At 36.6% G+C, this 20,650-nt stretch overlaps 1 protein-coding gene across 9 annotated transcripts in view; it reads left to right on the top strand.

Moving 5' to 3' along the window:
- MITF (melanocyte inducing transcription factor) overlaps positions 1-20,650 on the top strand; it is a 228,869-nt gene that overhangs the window by 137,785 nt on the left and 70,434 nt on the right. For 7 of the 9 annotated variants that reach the window (NM_001354607.2, NM_001354608.2, NM_001354604.2 and 4 more), the window contains one exon: positions 1,886-2,135. In NM_001354607.2, coding sequence (NP_001341536.1) covers positions 1,886-2,135 — 250 coding nt within the window. The remainder of the gene's footprint in view (positions 1-1,885; positions 2,136-20,650) is intronic. The other 2 variants (NM_001354605.2, NM_001354606.2) reach the window with 1 other exon arrangement.

The raw sequence follows: 20,650 nt of genomic DNA on the forward strand, positions 1-20,650 counted from the left end.
TTGTAAAGAGCTTTGTAATATCAGTTTTTGCACATTTAAGTTATTTACTTAGGAAAATTGTCCATCACAACATTTCTGAATCAAATTGTATGAACAATTTTTAGCTTTTTGGTAGTGTTGTTAAGCTGTTTTAATATATACCAGCAATGGTGTAGAGTAACATTATTCTTATGCTTTTTGTTGTCATAGACAGTTTGTTTATTAAAAAAAAAAAAAAACCTTGGATCTTACCTTAAATACTATTTTGTATCTGGCTTTTCTAAGTTCTTTGTATTGTGTAGTTTTATTCACATCAGTAACTATATTTTTACACTAGTTTTAATGGTTGCATCATGTTACATTTTGATTCTCTGACAATATACTGAGCCAATTTCCTGTTGTGAAAATAAGCGAACTGTTAAATTGTTATTGTGTAGTTTTTCTGGGATAGCGTGAGGGTAAAACCAATACTTCTTCATCCCCTAGCATGTTTTGTTACCTTCAGAGCCTGAAGGTTCCTGTCTTTAAGGAGCTCATGAGGATGGTCAATGATATTTAAGGCTTCATTTTGCCTTTTATTAGAAGGTAAAAGATAATACCAGAGTTTATATTCAAGGAAGGAAGTTCAAAGTACAAATACTTACCTCGAAGCATGACTTTCTCAAGAGTGAATATTTTCTCAAATGTTCCTTTTCTTCTGTTCCAGGTGCTAAGGTTTTGAACCGTTGACCTAAACACAGACGTTAAAAAATATATATAGAGAGAGAAATAAACAATGAAACATTTTCTACCTATAATAATAGTGACAGCAAACATTTGTTGAGCCAGTACTACATGGTACTCATTGTACTAGGGCATTTATGTGCCTTGTTTTATTTAATCCCCCAAAATCCCTAGGAAGTAGGGCTTTAAAATATACATGATGCTATAGAAATTTTAAAAGAACAGCTCCCACCTTTATAAATGGTAAGTGGGTAAAAAACTATTGTTATCCTTCTTTTCCGGATACTAAGACAGAGAGAGATTTAATAACTTGATGTCATAGAGCTGGCAAGATAAGTTATCAGAAACCATATTTAGGAAAATTAGGAAGTTTTTTCTTTTTAATTTGTGAGTAGGGTTTCAGAATTTTAAACTATTTTGGGTAGAGTGAGTACCAAAACCATTAGAAGTAGTCCTCATGGGGAATGCACAGAGAACACATTGTAACATAGTAGAGGGCATGCCAAGGTGAATCAGAAGAAAAGACAGCACAAAGAAAACCAGACAGAGAAGTATTGGCTTGTCAGACCAGCTCGTCTTCTGCCCCCTTACCCAAAGAGCGAGGTCGAGTTCAGTGTTAACATTCTGGCCCAAATGCTTCCTTCATTAATTATTTTTACTTATTTTATCTTAGAAAAATTTCCTCTTGGCAAAGCTCACCTTTTCTTTAATCAATATTTGTTAGTAAACATTTTAGGCATCTTCAAAGAACTTAGATAACATGTAGGAGTAGTTATTTGGTTAGATTCAGTTATACAAAAAAGCAAATCAAGCAATTTATTTTTAAATGTGGAAATTTGGGTGCCATTAAGATGCTTTGCTTCTTGGCAGTGCATATGGTGGCGCTATATTTGGTGGTGATGAGTAGTGTGCAGCATAAAATGTAAAAAAAAAAAAATTAAAAAAATTAAGCCGCCTGATAAAAATGCCTTGATGCAATCAAGCTGACTTATTTTAATTCAACTACTAATGACTTAAATCCTGTCACCTCTTGATTTTCAATTATGTGGAGTACCATTCTGTGACTTGATTATATTTGCGCAGACTCATTTTATAGTTTGGTGCAATTTAGGATACCCCCAAAGTGCAAACGAAGGGTCTCATTAGGAAACTAAATGTTGTATGCATTTTGGTTTTCCCACAGCAGTTCCGCCGAGCATCCTGGGGCCTCCAAGCCTCCGATAAGCTCCTCCAGTATGACATCACGCATCTTGCTACGCCAGCAACTCATGCGTGAGCAGATGCAGGAGCAGGAGCGCAGGGAGCAGCAGCAGAAGCTGCAGGCGGCCCAGTTCATGCAACAGAGAGTGCCCGTGAGTCAGACACCAGCCATAAACGTCAGTGTGCCCACCACCCTTCCCTCTGCCACGCAGGTGCCGATGGAAGTCCTTAAGGTACGTGAGTGTTGCTCTTGTTGGTTGGACCAAACTCTCTTCCATTTTCCATTTGCTAGGTGTTTTGTTTATCTGAATATGTATTTTGTTAGACTGACCCTTCAGAATTATATTTGAAAACTCCAACTCCCTTAATTCTTACGTGGCTTTATATTTTAAAAGAAGGATGCAAACGCATTGTAACTGTAATAGTAACAATCAGTAAATGGTGGGAGTCAATGTTCCATGAGAAATTGCAAGTAGGAATACATGTTTGTTGTGATGACATCTTTCTTTGGGAAAGTTTCAAAACCAGAATTATCTGAGGTGGGCCTCTTCTGATAATTTGTGTATCTTAAATATTTTTCTCTTAAATACCTTCCATAGCCACTCTTTACTTTTCTTTTTATTTAGTATGTAATATTGGTTGTAAAATCTGACTGTTTTAGAGAGCTCTTCACATATAAGATTGAAGAAGAGCTTTCTGCGCTTTGATAACCAGACTACATAATCCTTTTACTGAAGTGAGTTGTCTGCTTTGGGTCTCTTTGATTTCTTGCTAGAGTAGAAACTGCAGGAGCTTGTTAGCATCATTCGATTAGGGACATATAGCTTCCTAATTACTAAGGAAAATTGTAACAAGTCTAAGAATAGAATTCCATCTCACACGTGTCTTCCACATCACATAGGGAGATACTCCTTGTTTAAGAATAAACATTTCAGTTCTTAAATATGACTGATTCAAGGAAAGTTAAAAGGAAAGTAGAGGAACTTCCTTATTTTTAGTTTTTTTATTTTAGTACCTGCTCACCTAATTCTGAAAAGTCTCAAGTGTTACTGTTCATTAAACAATGTGAACTTTACAGACCGGTGATTCATTATTGGTTTTTGCATTCATCCATGTGCACAGAAAAAATGTCTCCCATTATTTAAAGTTTACTATTAAAGTAAATAGAGAGATGATGTGTTATAATCAGGAATCAATCTGTGAACCTTACCAGGAAGTAGGAAAGAGATTCTTTAAAAAACAAATCAAGAGTCAATTATTTTTTATTTGCGAAGACTTAAAATATAGTGATGCAATAATGGAACTCGGATGAAGAAACCAACTGAAATTGGGTTAGGGAAAAAAGATACAAATAGTTTAGCATAAAGTTTTACTCTAATGTGATTGTTTGAAATTCTGGATATTGCCACAGTTAATGGATTTTTTCCTCTTTCTTTTTTTACCCGTCAGTTAACTCAAGGTTTTCTCTCTGGAGTAGATGATGCATTGAATCTTTCTGTTCTGCTTGGGTGAAAATTGATATGATCACTAAGTTTTTATAGATTTAAGAATTATTTAAGATTTATGTTGTTGTCTCATGCCTGCAGGGGTGATAATCATTGTGTATACCTTAGGTTATTTAAAATTGTATGAATTAAATAGTAACAAGATGTGGAGAAATATGTCTATTTTATTCATCATAATAGTTCACCTTTATAATCTGTAGGGCAAATTTTAGAAGAGTTGCCATGGATTTGGGCTACTAGTGGGTTATATCCAACTGAAGGTAATGTTAAAGAATTTTTATTAAAATCAATATTCCTGTTAAGGCAGCTACAACAGAGAGGAAATTACCCAAATGAAAATGTGTTGAAACATCATTTCCAGATTATCTTAAAAGTGAGCATAATTTCTAAATGCTTTTGTCACTGTAAATATATTATTTTTGAAAATGATTAAAGTTAAAATCTACATTAAGTTGTTTGAATAACATACCAATATTTTTATATGTTGCTGTGTCCTGGTGACACTGGATTGAGCTACAACCCCTAACTTATGTATGCCAGAAAAATGTCCAAAGTTAAAGCACAAATAAATTGTTACAGCTGGACGACATACTCTAACTAAAAATAAGTATTAGGTAAATTTCTCTTTCACTCTGAATATAGTTCCTGTCTATTTAACTTCTGCTTTTTTATATTTCAGTTATATAAACTAGTAAACTATGTCATATAAATAAAAATAAGGAATTATTGCCATAGCTATATGGTTAGGTTTGATAGCTATTTAGACAAATTTTGGTATTCTTAAATGAAGAAACAAATAAGAATACACGATTTTATTAAGACAATATTTTAAGAAAATCAGATAACATTTTTAAAGAGAATATCATATAAGTGATTGCTTCAGATACTTAAAGACTTAGGACTTCATAAATATAGTTGGCTTATTTTCAAAATTTTGTGTATAAAAGTATTATGAAACATTATAGAAAGATAAGTGAGAGAAAGGTGGTTTTTTTTTTCTTTTTTATAGTTTTTAAATCATAAGCATAATTTTGTGAAGTAAGTGGTTAATAGCAAAACAGTTAATATGCTTAATCTTGGACCATTTATTTCTCCATGAATATATATTTTCAAAGAATGGTAATACCAAGTATACTAATTGAGTGCATTATGATACAGATTATATTGAATAAATATTTTCTCATAGTATGGCCTGAGTAAATTCGCTTAATTTTTAAAGGTTTAACTTGCTAAAACAGAACATGCCTGCTTCTCAGTGGAGGTAGATGTATACAATTAGTCACACTTGCATGCACTAGAGAATCTGGTTAAATCTCTCCGTCTCCCAAGTTGTTTGTAAGAACCAGAGGGAAGAAAGGTCATAGTTTAGTTTTCATACACACACAAAGTTAAGTTACCAACATTCTGCTATCTGGATGAATGACTGATTTCAAAAAGCTAAAGCAGTGTTTTCAGGTTAATCCCTTTTTTTGGCAGAGTAAAATTTAAAATATGAAGCTTTATAAAGCATGTTTAAAAGTTATTGACATCTGGTAAACTTAGGACTAGTCAGATTTTGGGTTAGAGATCGAAAATCTGCACCACTCATTCCTCAACGTATAGTCATTGTGCCGTGAGTAAGTTCATGAATCTTTGTAAGATTAGCCTCTGGTTTCTATATTGATTTAATAATATATGAATTTTCCTTCATATTGATTTTCATTTTTGGGGACATGGAATCATGAGTCTTATTGCTATATATTTACATAGTAAAGATATTCTCCAAGTTTTTTAAGAACAACCTTACCCAATTGGGTATTGTAATTTAAGGATGCTCTTTTACCATAAATTAACCAACACCTGGAGTGCATAATGCATTTTTTTGTAATGGTGAACACACCCTGTATTTTGAGTTGTGAATTAACAACAACAAAAAAAAAGTCATCAAGAACCATTAATGGAATCAGTTTCTTCCACAAGTGGGTTTTGCTGACATGCAAGTCATGCAAACCTGAAGTTTGAAATTTGATGTAGCTTTTTTCAAACAAAAACAGAGTAACGGGACAGAACTGTAGGTGAGTTCAGCCTTATAGCTAAAGCATCACGGTACAAACCACCAAGTTAATCATTTATGTAGTCACCAAGCATCTGTTTTCATAGTTTTGTCTCTCTGACTTTGATGAATTATAAAAGCACTGGTCGCTCTCATCCTGGACTAAGTTCATCAGGATTTCTTCCCCTACTACCTTCCCAAGATGGGCTTTGACGGTTGAAAGCTTGAAAACATTAGTTTACAGTTTGAAAATGTTTCTCTGTTCAGAAATCTGAAGGGAGTTGCCAAGGATTCCCCACTACCTCTGTCTCTCCCTCCCTTCCTTTCACCTTGAAATTTAAAATTTTAAAGGCAAAGTCGAAGTGTCTTCTCTGGAACGGATTGTCCCTTGAATTTTTCTGTTCTGCTTAAGGGAAAGGTTGCATGAATTTTAAAAGGAAAAGATTTTTTTTATTACTTTGGGGCATTTCTTAACTACTTTGAAGGAATTTATTTTTAAATTTTCCCTTTTCTCCAAATCATCTCAAGAGTTGCGCAAATTGCTCTGTAATTAGTGATGATGCTTGCTGTTTGTCAAATACAGAAGCACTTTTTCTGGGACCTTCTACATTGTAAACTAAATTTACGTGGGCATTTATTTGGTGGTTATCTCGTCAAAGTTGCCTCTCATTTGTATTGAGATTCTAGCGAGGTGGGCTGGAAGCCCTGCTCCTTGTTACCCTCTTTCAAAAACTGACATTCCATATTTCACTAGTGAGGGGAAGGGTTAATGGCTGAACTACTGGTCTTTCTCTGTAAATTATGAAATCTGCATGGAGTAGAATTTTCAAGGTGTGATTTATTTTTTAGGTATAACACAGAACATGAAAATGTGTGTGGAGTTACAGGTGGATTGGTGGGCTACAGATTGGCAAAAGGGACTTCTCCCACAACCTACCCTTAGATTTTGTTTCTGGTTTATTTAGCCAGGAATACAGACCCTAAATAGCATCATGGTGGCTGCAAGAAGCCAGAACAGATGTAGTGTGTCTCAGATCAGCTTGCCTTTGTCCCCTCAGTTAGGGGATCTGTTGCTAGAGGTGTCACTCTCATAAGGTGAAGACCTGCTATGTCTAAGATTTCTTCTTATAGCATAGTCCATTCACACATGGACCAGCATATACTTATGACCCTTGTAGTTTGACTTACACAAACAACCTGTCAGCCTTGATTTCAGGGATCATTTATAAACATTGTTGTCCTTTTGTTTTTGAATCAATGTTGGTGTCTGCAAGGCTACATCCTCATTCAGGGGGAGAAAGGGACTCAGATTTCAGGTCAACAGACAGCTCTTCATTCTCCCAGAAACCTCATTTCCCTGCAGAATCTGAATCATTCAGTGTCACACATAAGGTAATTTTCTCTCTCTTTAAAACTCACGTTATTGACTTTTTAAATTGCAGATAATACTTGTTAACTTTTAACAGATTTAAACAATGCAGCAGAATAGTTCAATATGAATCTCACCCTGCCTACCACCGCCTCCCTTCCGTCATGTTCCCTGGAAGGAACGACTGTTAACAGTTTAGGATGCAGCCTTCCTGTTATTTTCTGTTTAATAACCCTACCATCAGTTGCCTTTTATAGGAGCGAGGTCTGAAGAAATATGTTAGTCACTTTTTATCAGGTAGACATAAACCCTTTATTTTTCTTTGTTCATATTTGCAAATGGAACAAAAAAATGTATAATTTATTTTCCTTCTGGGTTGTCTCTATCTTTAAGAATCCCGCTTCAAGGTCCACTCTTCCCTATGTGCAGTGAGGACTTCTCACCCTGTGTCTTGAGAGCAGTTTAATTGGTTCAATGTGTAAGTATGTACCAGCTTGCACGGCACTGAGTGGCAGCCCCTTTGCTTCCCAGGCTGCTTTATGAACACTTGGGGGTGAGGATTTAGTGATCTCTGGGCTGACACAAGAAAGTGCTCCATAGAGTTGTCTTACTTGGTAAAGTCAAACTTAACACAGGCTCAGTAGTGCAAGAATTGCAATAAGTGCAAGAATCACAGTAAGTGCTTTTGGATTCATGTTGGACTTGGTTTTTCTGTCTGCACTGCTTTTAGTGACTAGTAGCTAGTAATGAAATGCTGGCTGCAGAAAGTCATCTTCGCTTAAATTTTTAGGTTTTATCTACTTAAAAGAGCAGACCGATGAGACCAACTATCTGAAACAAAATATTCAGCCTTTACACAACTAAGCCTATGAATTAATCCCAGTTTCTGGAAACATTGGAACTTCAGCTCTAATTACATGTTCATTGGGCAATATTGGCACAGAATGGAAATGATTTCTCCCTTTATGACCACAAGGGCATTTTCATGTAACTGAGGGGTACAGCACAATCTGGGTTTTGTACAGCACAATCTGGGTTTGATTTCATCAGGTTGTGGATAGGGCCTGATGTACCTGGTGGACACTTGACTAGTAGCTAGTAATGAAATGCTGGCAGATACGCAACATGGCGCTCTCTCTTTAAGTAGGAGAATCTTTGCCATCTTCTCCATGAGCCCCTTTGCAATCACTGAATTCATCCTGTGGGTTTCAAAGAGAAGAGACACCTGTTTGGCTCCTCCTCGTTTTCTCCTGTTAGAGGAGGCTATACTAATAGGTGCAGTCTCCTTTCATTTACACAGTTCTCATAATTCCATACTGCCAGAGGTGAAGGCAGTATCATAAGGAAAATATTAAGGTCTGGGGCCTGGAAGTGAGGGCTAAAAACTGGAGTGGGCCTAGTGTCATCTGACTCTGAATGGTAATTTCTTTTTTAATGTCATGAGACCAGTAGAACGTGCATCCTCAACAGGGGCGAAGTCACTCCCCACAAGTAGGACAAAAATGGATTGTTGGAGGGCAAAAGAGTCTTAGATGTTACAATGGTTTCTAAACCTCCAAAGTCCCAGTACATAAACCGATAAACAGTATATGTGTCTTTTAAAATTTTATGGTGATGGGGATGAAGGAGAAGCAATTAGGGGAAAAATGTCTTAAAAGGCTTTTTATTGGGATACTAATGAATAAAAGATTGAGAAACATTCCTGCAGAGGAACCAGCATCTTTCCCAATTCTTTGTGTTTTGTTTAGGGACCATTTGTGGAGGCTCCTATAGATGTGATGCCTATATTCTGTCTGGTCTGTGTCTCCCCAGGAAAACTGTTATGAGAACAATCATGATCAGCAAGTGCCAGCATTGAACTTTACCTGTATTGACTCATTTAATGCCACCATTGCTCTGTGAGGTAGTTATTATTAGCATCCCCATTTCACAGATGCAGGAACTGTCACAGAGGGGTCAACTAGGTCATCAGAAAGTCACCCAAGTAGGTGGTGCAGTCAGGATTTGAACTCATATAGTTGAACTCCATGGGCCACTAGTGGTAATACCTCTCCTGGAGGGAATGACCTGAGAAACATTAGGAGGGAGAGATAGCAATGTTCAGCCTCTCAAATGACACGGTAGCTTGGGGCTTGTAGCAAATGTTTACTACAGAGCTTCAATCCATAGCTTAAACTTTTATAGGAATTACTGATGTGAACGTGACACTACCTGAAGCACCTTGGAGGAGGAAAGGCAATTGTGCCTCCTTGACAACGTGGATATTAATTATAGGGTGGATTGGATGGTGGGATGAACACTTCAGGTCTTTTAGCTCATTTATTATTTTAGTAACCTTAGGAAACAAGTAGGATAAGCCTTATTTTCCAGATAGGGAAACTGAGGCTTAGATTATCACTGATCCCTGGTTACATAGACTCCACACACTACCTTATTTGCTTATAAGCACACATCCTACTGTAAGGACATGCTCTAAACATTTCTAAAGAATCACCAGTAACAGAATATATTAGAGCAAAATGGGAGGTCAAAGAGAAACTACAGAGGAGTCTCACAGGCTTAACAGAAAGATACATGAGCTTAAGCATTTGAATTAGTAAGGGGCTTCCCTATTGAATAGTTAAAATATCCTCATGAGTCTCCACAATATGCCAGATGAAAGAACTGGATGTGTTTTTATTATATAAAAAAGACTTCCTGGCCACATTGACCCCCGTGGTAATTTATGCTTTATTGATAGTCATCATTATGGGTTAAAAAGCACTACAGTGAAAGTTTCTATAACAACATCCAAAAATCATAACTCAAGTCACTTATATTCTAAAGATCTTGATGGTCCATGCTATTACAATTCATATGCTTTATAGTTCTGAGTATTTACTAATATATTTGCATTGTTTTAGATGATTTTTGAAATAATTCAGTAGACTCACACACTTTTGATATCAATTTTCTTCTGAAATTATGTTTGCATTTTTGGTTTTTCCTTTCCCATGCACCTTGCAATATTAGAGCTCTTGCCATATTTTAGCACTTAACAACTGGAACTTCATTTCTGGTGGTTTTTCTATTTGCTTTTAAGTAAATGTCAGTGGTAATAAATCTTCTATTACTATATTGAAAAAGTCATGAGTCTCCTTCACAAATATTACCTATTTAATCCCAACAATTAAAGAAAGGACTTAGCTTTGAAAGACCACTTAATTTGAAAGACTCTTCAGTTAGCACGCTTTTGAACAGAGATTGTGAACATGTGTAAGCAAAATCTAATTTTAACTTTGCTCTACTAAAATCGGTGGGTGTGATCTGTGTTAAAAATATGTAAATCAGTACAGTGGCTTCACTCAAGGTTATAACTGCAATCAGTACTAGAATATTGGCTCTTGCCCTGAATGTGTCTCCTTTTATTGACTTCTTTGAGGATCAGCTTGAACTTAAAAAAACATTTAGCTCCAGATAATATACCAGTTATTCAGATCTTATTTATAAATTTAGATGTTTTTTGTTTAGTAATTTATAACTTTATGAAAAGGAAATGAATCCGAATTGGAGCATATGAATCAGGTAAAGCAGGGGGCTGTTAAAGGAGAGAATGGTCCTAAAAAAGAAATTGTTTTAATTACTCTTTTTAAAAATAGGGAATGTCCTAGAAAAGGGTATAGGTGAATCTATACCATTGTTTCTACCAGCTGTCTCTGGAGTGAGTATTGGGATTGGAAGCGGTGGTGGTCAAAGGCTTTATCATTATTATTATGATTTTTACTAGGAGAGCATATGCATGCATTCTTTATGTAAAGTGATGTCCTGATGCATTTTATTTGAGTCACCCACAACTTTTTGAGGAGCACAGTTCTTCTGTCAGGTGTAAACTCACCAGTTTACTAGACTTAGACACATTATGTAACTCTAGTGGTCTTTCCTAGAAGAAAGATAACAAGGTGTAGGAATCCTGCAAATTCAAAGTGAGCAAAAGGATTTCAATCACCCGGTCGGGAAGTAATTTTTAAAAGTAGTTAAGAGGCCCAAAATGAAAAGCAAAATTCAGACTTCTATTACCTTACTACCATGCATAACTCTGTTGTAATCTCCCCTGTTGGGCCTGGGTTTTGTATAATTAAAATTTAGGGGCTGGAAATTTTGTTGAGCCTTAATTGGAAGTGACAAACCAGAGACATTCCTGCCAGTTAGGAAAGGCTTAAGAAATTCTTATTGGCTAAATTACAAATATGTAACATTTTTTCTGAACACTGCATGGTAGTTCAGACTGCCTAAAGGTGACAAGATTAGCTCTGTTTTTCTAGTGAAGTAGTAAAAATTAGATTAATAAGTACCAGGCAAAGAACCTTTTCTTTTTTTCTTTTTTTTTTTTTCTTTTGAAAGAAATCTTACCTTGAGTACTTCTGGCTGTGGAGATCGGTGCCTTAATTAGCCACATGTTCTTTTTACCTCCTGGGAAATAAGTACGGGATAAAATTGGGGATCAAGCCGTAGACGTACATTGACTTAGCACACGCCGCTAAGTAATTCATCAAGGAATGTTGGTAATTAGTCCTGCCTCTTTCAACTCTTGGCTTATTTTATAAAACCGGTTGATTTAAAATAATGCCTGCTGATTTATTACCCACACGTTTCAAGACTGGTACTTGGCTCTTAAACAAAAGCAATATTGTGCAGCGATGGAAATGCGCCCTCTTGTTTTTGTGTTTTTACAAATTCTGAAGGGCCATCTATGGCCCCCCTATTAACTTTGTTGCCTTTCCTTTTGCCCCATTCAGCATTTTACTGGGCTTTCTTTTCTGTCTTGGTGAAGAGAAAAGGGGAACAAATTTAAAACAAAAAACGAAAAAATCCAGGCTCTTAGAGATTTGGGATGTGAGGTGCTTGTCAAAGTGTATTGGCTCGGTGTGATTTGATGGAATTTAATTTGAATCCTTCGTCTGGTAAGACAGGCTGTAGTAATAGCCTTTGGTTTTTTTTTTTTTTTTTTTTTTTTTTGCATTGTTAAATGTTTGGTGATATTTATGGCAGCCAGGCTAATCTTAAAAGAATGAATTTATGAGAAGCACAGAACCTCATGACTTCAGCCTCTTACCCTTAGTATCCAAGCACTGTAGTGCATTATAGTTTGAATGCCAGATTCCCATTAATGCTAACTGATGGACCTCATTATGCTTTGAGATGAGACCTTAATCAGGGTCCCTGTTGAAAATCTACGATTAGGCTGTCTTTGATTCATAACTCTGTGAACTTGGGCACATTTCCTGTTCTCTCTGGGTCTCAGTGTCCTCATCTATAAAATGGAGGTAATAATACTCGCCCTGGGGAGTTTTTGCGAGAGTTAAATGAGATAATTCACGAAAGCAGTGCTGTCTGATAGAATATGAACCAAGTACATAAATTCAAAGTTTCTAGTACTCTCACTAAAAATAGTAAAAAAAAAAAAAAAATAGTGAAACTAATTTTAATGTATTTTATTTAACCCAAAATATCTAAAATATCACTTCAACATGTAATCAGTATAAAAATTATTAACAAGATATTTTCACATTTTTTCCTAAGTCTTTGTGCTGCCTTTAAAATTGCATGTATATTTTATACCTCCAGCACATCCCCAATTTGGACACTAAATTTTCATCAGAAAATTTATTTGACCTGTGTTTAGATTTTATAAAATGTATAATTGAAAAAGTTAGATTCATATACCTAACTTGTTTCAAACGTATTCAAAAGATTTCCAATAAATAAATTGAATATGTCTTTAGATTTAAATTAAATTATATGAAAAGTTCAGTCTGAATGAGTCTGAACAAGCCACATTTCCAGTGCTCAGCAGCCACACGTGGTCTTTGCATTGGACAGCACAGAACTAAGGCATTAGCCAAGTAGATGGAAAGTGCTCAGGAAAGGATTCTGCTCTACTGTTGGTAATAATAAATCACATAATGATTTACAATTATTAATCACACGAATATAAAAATTATTATCTTCTCTAAGTTGCCATCTTCATATGCCACTATTGTACCTACAAAGTATTACTGTTTTCCTACTGCCCGCCACAAAGAAAACACAAAAAAATTAGTCATTATTTTCTTGCTCATTATTTGGAGCCCATGTTAGCTGACATATCTTATGTATGGTTGATATTTCCTGTCAAAAACAGCCTCTTATAGGAGAAAGCAGCAACGAGTCACCCTTGGTAACATGGCATTTTGACTCATCTCTGCCAATAGCCTTCCATTCAGACTTGAGCATGGTGACAGCCCTCAACTTGTTAGCCACACATCTTACTCATACTCTCAATCCAGGTTCTTTTCAAACCTACACATATCACACTTACATAGCACCTGTCCGGTGTGTTAAAGATGTCTAAAGTCTTGCGAATATATGAGCATTTAATCAATGTTCTTGGTGTGAGACAGACATTAGGGGACAAGGAGATTAGTTAATCATACATTGTTCTTTACCATACATTACATAGATTGATTAACATGAAGGATATTGAAAACTAGGTTTTTTTGGTGGGGTTTTATGTATGATTTTTATTTGTGCTGATGTCTCTAAGGCAATTTTCTTTCTTAGTTAACTTGCGGTATATTTTTAGGAAATTATAGCACAGCTCATAATGCAATGAAACAGTTCTTTAGTAATTCATTAGATAACCAAGTTTTCTGTTTTGATAGTAATTTTCAACCGCTTATTAAACCAGAAATAATACCTAAGTGATAATTTATATTTTGTTAGTCACCTTTTCATTCCTAATGCAAACAATGAGTCAATTATATTGGAATTAGTAAACTGTGTTAGAGAGATTTAATGTGTTCTTCATATAATACTAAGAGCCTATAAAGTCACATTCTTGTGCAATTACAAAAAGCAAGAAAGCCAAGGGAGCAAAAATGTTAACCATGCTATGACCTCCAGAAAGAAAAATCATCACGTTGTCAGATTTCATGATTTCCTTAGTTTGGAGTTAGATCTATTTTCTGAGTCTGTATTAATCTCAATATTTTCTTATTATCTTCCATTAACATAAGTTAATAAACTTTCAGGCCATTGCAAAGTTGATTTCAGTTTTCCAGTAGCTTTCCAGGTTTGTTTTAAAATCACATACCTAAATAATTTTTCAACTAATGAATTAGAAGAATCTTGATAGAGCTCATAATACAATGTTATGAATATGGGCAATTGTGACCATTTTTATTGACACCTGGGACTCCCAATGTCTCATAGAGAGGGAAGACAAATTGAACATTCTGACAAGACATTTAATTTTGATATAAAATCTCTGTTCATCAGTTTGACATGAAGCTAAGATGTTTAGAACTTAACCTCAAATGGTGGAAAGCATTGTGTAACTCAGGGGTTCTCAAAGTGTGCTCTGGAACCTGTAGCCACTGCGTCCCCTGCGACCTCGTTAGAAATACAGATTCCCTGTGCCTATCCCAGGCCTACTGAACCAGAAACTCTGTGGGTGGAGCTCATTAATCTGTGTTTTAACCAGCCTTCTGAAAGATTCTAAAGTATGCTCATGTTTGAGAATCACTGCTGTAGAAACCTGGAGGTTAATTTGTAAGAAATGTAAGAAAAATTAGAAAATGCAGAGGCAAATAAAGTCAAATAAATTTCTTTACTGTAGAGCCTCTGAGATCCTTTAACATGTAAAGAGTTATGGCAAATCTCCAACAGTGGTACAGTGGGCAAGCACTTTGAGAAGAAAGGGGAGGAGTAAGACAGGCAAAGGAAATGTTGCCTTGAGTTGCTCAGTGGAAGATGCAAAATACCTAATAGCTATTTAGGGTATCTTGTACATGTGGTACATTCTATTATGTGCATATATTTATGAAAAGTTTATAAAAATAGGTTAATTCTGTCAAGTCTTGAGGAGGTGAATTGAGGATAAGAAAACAATAAGAAACTCTAAAATGACTTGCTTTAGCACTGGGCCTTTCCAGGAACTCTGAGGGTCAGTGAATCCATTTGTCCACAAATATTTGTAAATTAAATATGTATGTCACATATGTACCATTCATCTCTTTTACTAATAAATGTAGATGCTGCTATGATAAAGTACAAATTGATATCAGAGCTCTATGTTTCATTTTTTTTCTTATTTTTAGGCATTTTCCTGATCAACAAAAACCAAAGCACAACTCGTAATCAAATAGGGCCTTGAAATATTTGACTTTTAAAAATGATTGAAAGCTACTTAAAAATATTATTTTTTGTTTTTTAGACTTTATTTTTTAGAGCAGCTTTAGGTTCACAGCTAAATTGACCGGAAGATAAGGAGATAGCCATTTATCCCTGCCCATGCATATTCACAGCTTCTAACCCCAGAGTGGTACATTTGCTGCAGTCAGGGAACCTAGATTGACATATCATTATCACCCAAAGTCCAAACTTTATGTTAGTGTTCACTCTTGGTTTTGTGCATTCCATGAATTTGGGAAAATGTGTAATGACATGTATCCACCATGATAGTATCATAGACAGTATTTTTACTGCCATAAAAATGGTCTGTGCCCTGCTTTGGTTGCTCCTCTGAAGAAAAAAGCCACTTTTCTTCAGGAACTGTGTTTTAGCTATCAAGAGTTATTTAAATTCTACTTTTAGAAGCTACTCTTTTTACAAAATTGGATTTAGATAAATGGTAGCACAAAATGGCCCTTTCAGAGTCTGCAGACCCCTGACATCTGTAATTCCCCCAGCAGTAGGCCCTTCATGGTCTGTCTCTGACATCAAAGGTCTTTCTACTGACGTGGCTGTAGTCTTGGCTTTGTCTTTTACACTGGGGCATTGACATCAAGAGAAAGTGTTTTTCTTCCTTTCTCCTTTCTTTTTTTGTATTGGTTTTCTGCCTGAAGGCAGTATATCCAGTGCATGTGGCCATCCTGCCCTTTCTGTTGAAATAAAACAAACGGTCATTTTAAGAAGCTCCATGGGAAAGATCAACTCTTTCTGATGCTGGAGTCCTTAACATGCACGTCCAGCACGATGACCAAGTACAGCCTTAGGTGAGATCTGGCTCATATATAGCCATGAAGTGCACTTTTCTTCCACCAGATGATACTGATTGCCTTCTCACCTTCTTACCTCCCTTTCATAGTTATAGTCCACCTAGTAAGAGAAGAAAAGGAGAAATCACCATAAGATATCCCCTGAGGACTTCTGCACTGGATCGTGAACCTTGTTTCCTAGACCTACTTTTCTTTTCTGTTAGGGTTTGCATTTTTCAATTAAAATTCATTCAAAGAACTCCTGCCCAGAGGCATTTGATTATGCCTACACCTGCTATCTAGTTGCAGTGTTGAAAGGCATGGGCTCTGGAGTTAGATCGGGCGATATCCATATGTTTTCTCAACCTGAATTCCCTTGTTTGCATAACAGAGATAATAAAGGTCCCTAGCTCATAAGCTTGCTCTGAGGAGTAAGTGACATGATGCTTGCAAAGCACTTAGCACGGTGCCAGGCGCAATACTTTTTAATGCTGATCACTGTCATCAGCATTTCAACCAGAGACACACAGTCCACAGTAATTGAGCCACATAATGGGTTCTTGAGAAGTGACTAGAAGGTTAATGCTTTGGTAAAAGATTAGGAAAGTTGATTCTACCTATGATCTAGAATTAATTTCTCTAGAGATGCATGGGATGTGTAAAGATTCTTTTAATCAATTACTGTTGAATTACATTGCAGCAGCAAGGAATTTTAATTCTTAAAAACTACCTGGCTATGTAGATTCCTCTAACAGTAATTTTTGGGGGATAAGGAGTAGTGAGATGCTTGGCCACAGTTTTTAACTTTCCCCCAAATTACACCCACTACATAAAAGACTTATATGTTGTTTTTAATGATTGACAGCCAAATTAGGCAGCTGTTAAATCCTTACTTATAGAAAATTCTGTGGAAAGTGGTAAAAATTGGGGTTAAAGTTTCAAGAAAAATTAATAGACATCAGGCTATCAAAATGTTTCTTGATTCTGAAATTAAACTTTCACTTATAAGCTGAGAAGCCAACAATTTTGGTTCTAGAATACAGGTTACATAGGAGTGACCATATATGATTTTATTAACTGTTCACTTTTGAAAGCCTTATTATTTTGGGGAAACTTGAAGGTTCAAAATACATTTAATCACAGCCTTTCGCCCCTAAGCCACAGGGCCTACATTGCAGAACCAGTCAACTGATGAAAACAAGTGATCTGTGTTCAGAGTGTTTTCATTGCTAATCAAGTTGCATAATCATTTTTATCTAGTCTCTAAGTGTTTTGATTCATTTGCTTTGGAATTACTCGACTTCTTCCTTACATGATATGTCCATTTAATTTTATTGGACTGCGCTGTGCTGGCTGGGCACAGTGGCTCACGCCTGTAACCCCAGTGCTTTGGGAGGCCGAGGTGGGTGGATCACCTGAGGTCAGGAGTTCGAGACCAGCCTGACCAACATGCTGAAAACCCGTCTCTACTAAAAGTATGAAAATTAGCCAGGCTTGGTGGCGGGCACCTGTAATCCCTGCTACTGGGGAGGCTGAGAAAGGAGAATCCCTTGAACCCAGGAGGCAGAGGTTGCAGTGAGCCAAGATCATGCCATTGCACCCCAGCCTGAGCAACAAGAGTGAAAAAAAAAAAAAAAGACTACTGTGCTATCCTAACTCCTCCACTCCAATCTCTGTAATTTATGGTACAAGTTTAATTTTTTTATTCATTTGTTTATATTTTTTACCTTTTAGAAACATGTCACCTTGACTGTTCTGTAGTCAGTTCTAACTACTTGCTGACCTTTATTTTTGCTATTAAACCATTTATCTTCCATTACATAGACTATCTTCAGATAAGACCAGAGGCCATTCTCTCCAACCAGTCTTGCAAAGTTCACTACTTCACAATTGATACTGCAACCATGAAATCAAACATGCCTCTGCATGGACCCCTAGTATGACCCAGGGGAAGTTGTCTTTCTGGGTGTAGGTCTCCCCATCTGAGTCGTCTCAGACTTCCCTCCTAGCCTGGACTTTCAGTGAATTATCTCCTTTTTCCTGGAGAATCGCCCACCTACAGACCACTGAAGTTTCATTTGTGATAAGATGAAGGTGACAAAGGACTTTAAAAGCCTTGAAAGAAACATTAGGTTTATTTTAAGTGTTAGATACATAAAACAGTTGTAATGATAAAGAACAGCAGTGTATATAATACTTACAGTTCCACTATAGTTTAAGTCACCAGTTTCTCCTTGAGGGTGGCAACAGGTGAGTTGAGAAAAGCCTCTTTTTTAGATACGCTATTATTTTGTCTAAGTGTGTTTTGCCAATTATAATAATAATGTTAATCCTGGTTATCACTTACTGCATTCCTGAGACTTTTCTGAAGGTCTTTTGCGTAGAGATTGAGCACAGACTTATTCAGAATAGATGGCGAGGTTGTCAACTAAACTGCCACGAGTTTATTTACACAAATGTCCTAAAGTCTATATTAAATATTTAGTTCTCAAGTATGCTAAATCCCTAATATTAAAATTTATCTCTGACACAATTTTTGGTCACAGGATGTTCTATAGCTCTTATTTTCTTTCCCTTATGAAGCAGAAAACAAATAAAGGCTATGGATGCTTTTTTATGTTCAGTCAGTGGGTATAGGACAGGTGAAGGGGGATTTACAATGTGACTCACTTCTATAAATATTTTGCTCACTTTCCTTCAGTTTATATATTAATACTAATTTTAATTCATTCCTTAAGAGAGAATTGTGGAGTGTTTGTGTGTGTGTGTGTGTGTGTGTGTGTGTGTGTGTGTGTGTATGTGTGTGTTTTGACAATTTTTCTCTTAAAGCCTTTCCATTTTCACTGATCTTTCAACTTTTCCTCTTTTCCATCCTTGGAGAATACCTCTATAGATGCTAACACCCCCCTTCCCCTATTTACCTCCCTCCCTCGCTCACTCCTTTCCTCCCCCTCTCTTTCTCCTTCCTGCCTTCCCTTGAATCCTAGCTCTGTCCTTTGATAAACTTGGGCAAGTGACTTAGTCTAAACCTTAGTTTCCACATCTGTTGCACTGTGTTTCTTTAACATGAAAACCTCCCATGTTGTTGGCAAATAAGACAGTCATGTCAGTATAACATGAAAATCCTTTTGGTTCATTTCCCACAGCATATTAATGCTTGAAGTAGTCAAAGACAAGTTTTATCATATTTAAAGAGAAAGTCTTAGCCCTAGATAAAGCATTACTTGGCTTTCCACAGGGCTCTGCTCTCTGGAGAAGTTGAGAATACAGAGGCAGCAGCTGCAGAGACAATACTGTCTGTGCTAACACAGGACATTCATAAAGAAGGCTGTCTCTGGGATCAGATTTTAATTTTTTGAAAAAGGATCAACATTAGAAGCATCTATACTTGTTATCCGTGGTCTACCTTTTGAGAGAGGAAGCAGGAGCCCCAGTGTTTAAGGCTGTCTGGGATGCTAGCTGCAGAATCCAGTAGAAATTTAACCAGCTGATGCTGAATTAGGGTTTACTGATTGTTGTTATTCGTGCTCCGGTTATAAAGGTGCATAGGTTTTGAGGGATCTGCCCCCAATCTTCTTTTTTCTTAATATGCCCTGCTATTCATAGGTGTGATTTTTGCAGAACGTGATGTTTTCCAGGACTGTAGAAATGGAGTTAGAGCATAAACACCTGAACCAACCTCAGAGCTGTAATTAAATGAATTCATGTATGTAAGTACCTAGCACAGCCCCTGAGCTGGTTGGCTTTGATTGGAGTCTTGAAGGACAAGTAGGAAAGGGCTTAATCAGTATCAGCTAGTACTGTTGAACCCTTCAAACATTGCAGTTCAGCCTCAGAAGGTGAGGGACGTATCCCTGTAGTGGTTTGTGTTGAGTGGAAACTTGAATAACAAGTAGGGTTATACCCAAAAGACTAGGATGAGGGGGCATGGCACATGGAGAGAAATGAAGCAACAATACATACTCTGGATTTTGGTGTGAAGCAGTGAAATGCAAGGTAGCAGAAGGTAGGACTAGGAGGGTATTGGGAACTGAAGCTAGATGGATGAGCAGGGGCCAGGAGCTTGGGTCTGATGCAGTCAGGATTGGGTAGCCATCAACAGCGTGTCTTCATTTTCCTTTTAGGAAAGAAGAAGGTGGTTAAGGTGGACTTCTATGGGAGCTGGTGGAGATGGTGGCGTTGGTTTTGGAGGAATGCAGTTGGAGGTGGGGAGGCGATCAAAATGATTTGGGGAATGAGTGATGAAAGTGTTGGCTCCAGAAGACGTAAGAAGAAAGCACTGGTTAAAGAAAATTAAGGAGTAAAGTATATGGAACCTTGCCAGACAGAAGGAAGAAGGCATAATACTATAATGCTTTACAGAGAAGAAAAACTGAACATAGTAGAGCTTAAGAAATTGGTCTATATTGGGAGTTGACAAACAATGTCCATGGGCCAAATCCTGCTACCATCTTTTTTGGTAAAGTTTTATTAGAATACAGTCATGCTGATTTATTTTCATAGGGTCTTTGGTTCCTTTCACACTACAATGACAGATTTAAGTAGTACAACAGAGACCTTGCGCCCACAAAGCTGAAAATAATTATCCTCTGGACATTTATAGAGAAAGTTTGCTGACTGCTGATCTGTGTGTATAGCTAGTAAGTAGACCTGGGATTCAAATCTTCGAGAGTTGGGATCATATCTCTTTTGCTCACTTCTGTATCCTGGGCATTTTGCATTGTGTCTAACATATAGTAAGCCCTCATAAATTAACATTTATTGAATTAACCTACAAATGAATGAATGAATTAATAAAATCACAAAGTCAAGTCTACCTGAGTCACAGCTTGTGCTAGTCATTATT

This window comes from Homo sapiens, chromosome 3 (assembly GCF_000001405.40).
Source record: "Homo sapiens chromosome 3, GRCh38.p14 Primary Assembly".
Classification (NCBI taxonomy): domain Eukaryota; kingdom Metazoa; phylum Chordata; class Mammalia; order Primates; family Hominidae; genus Homo; species Homo sapiens.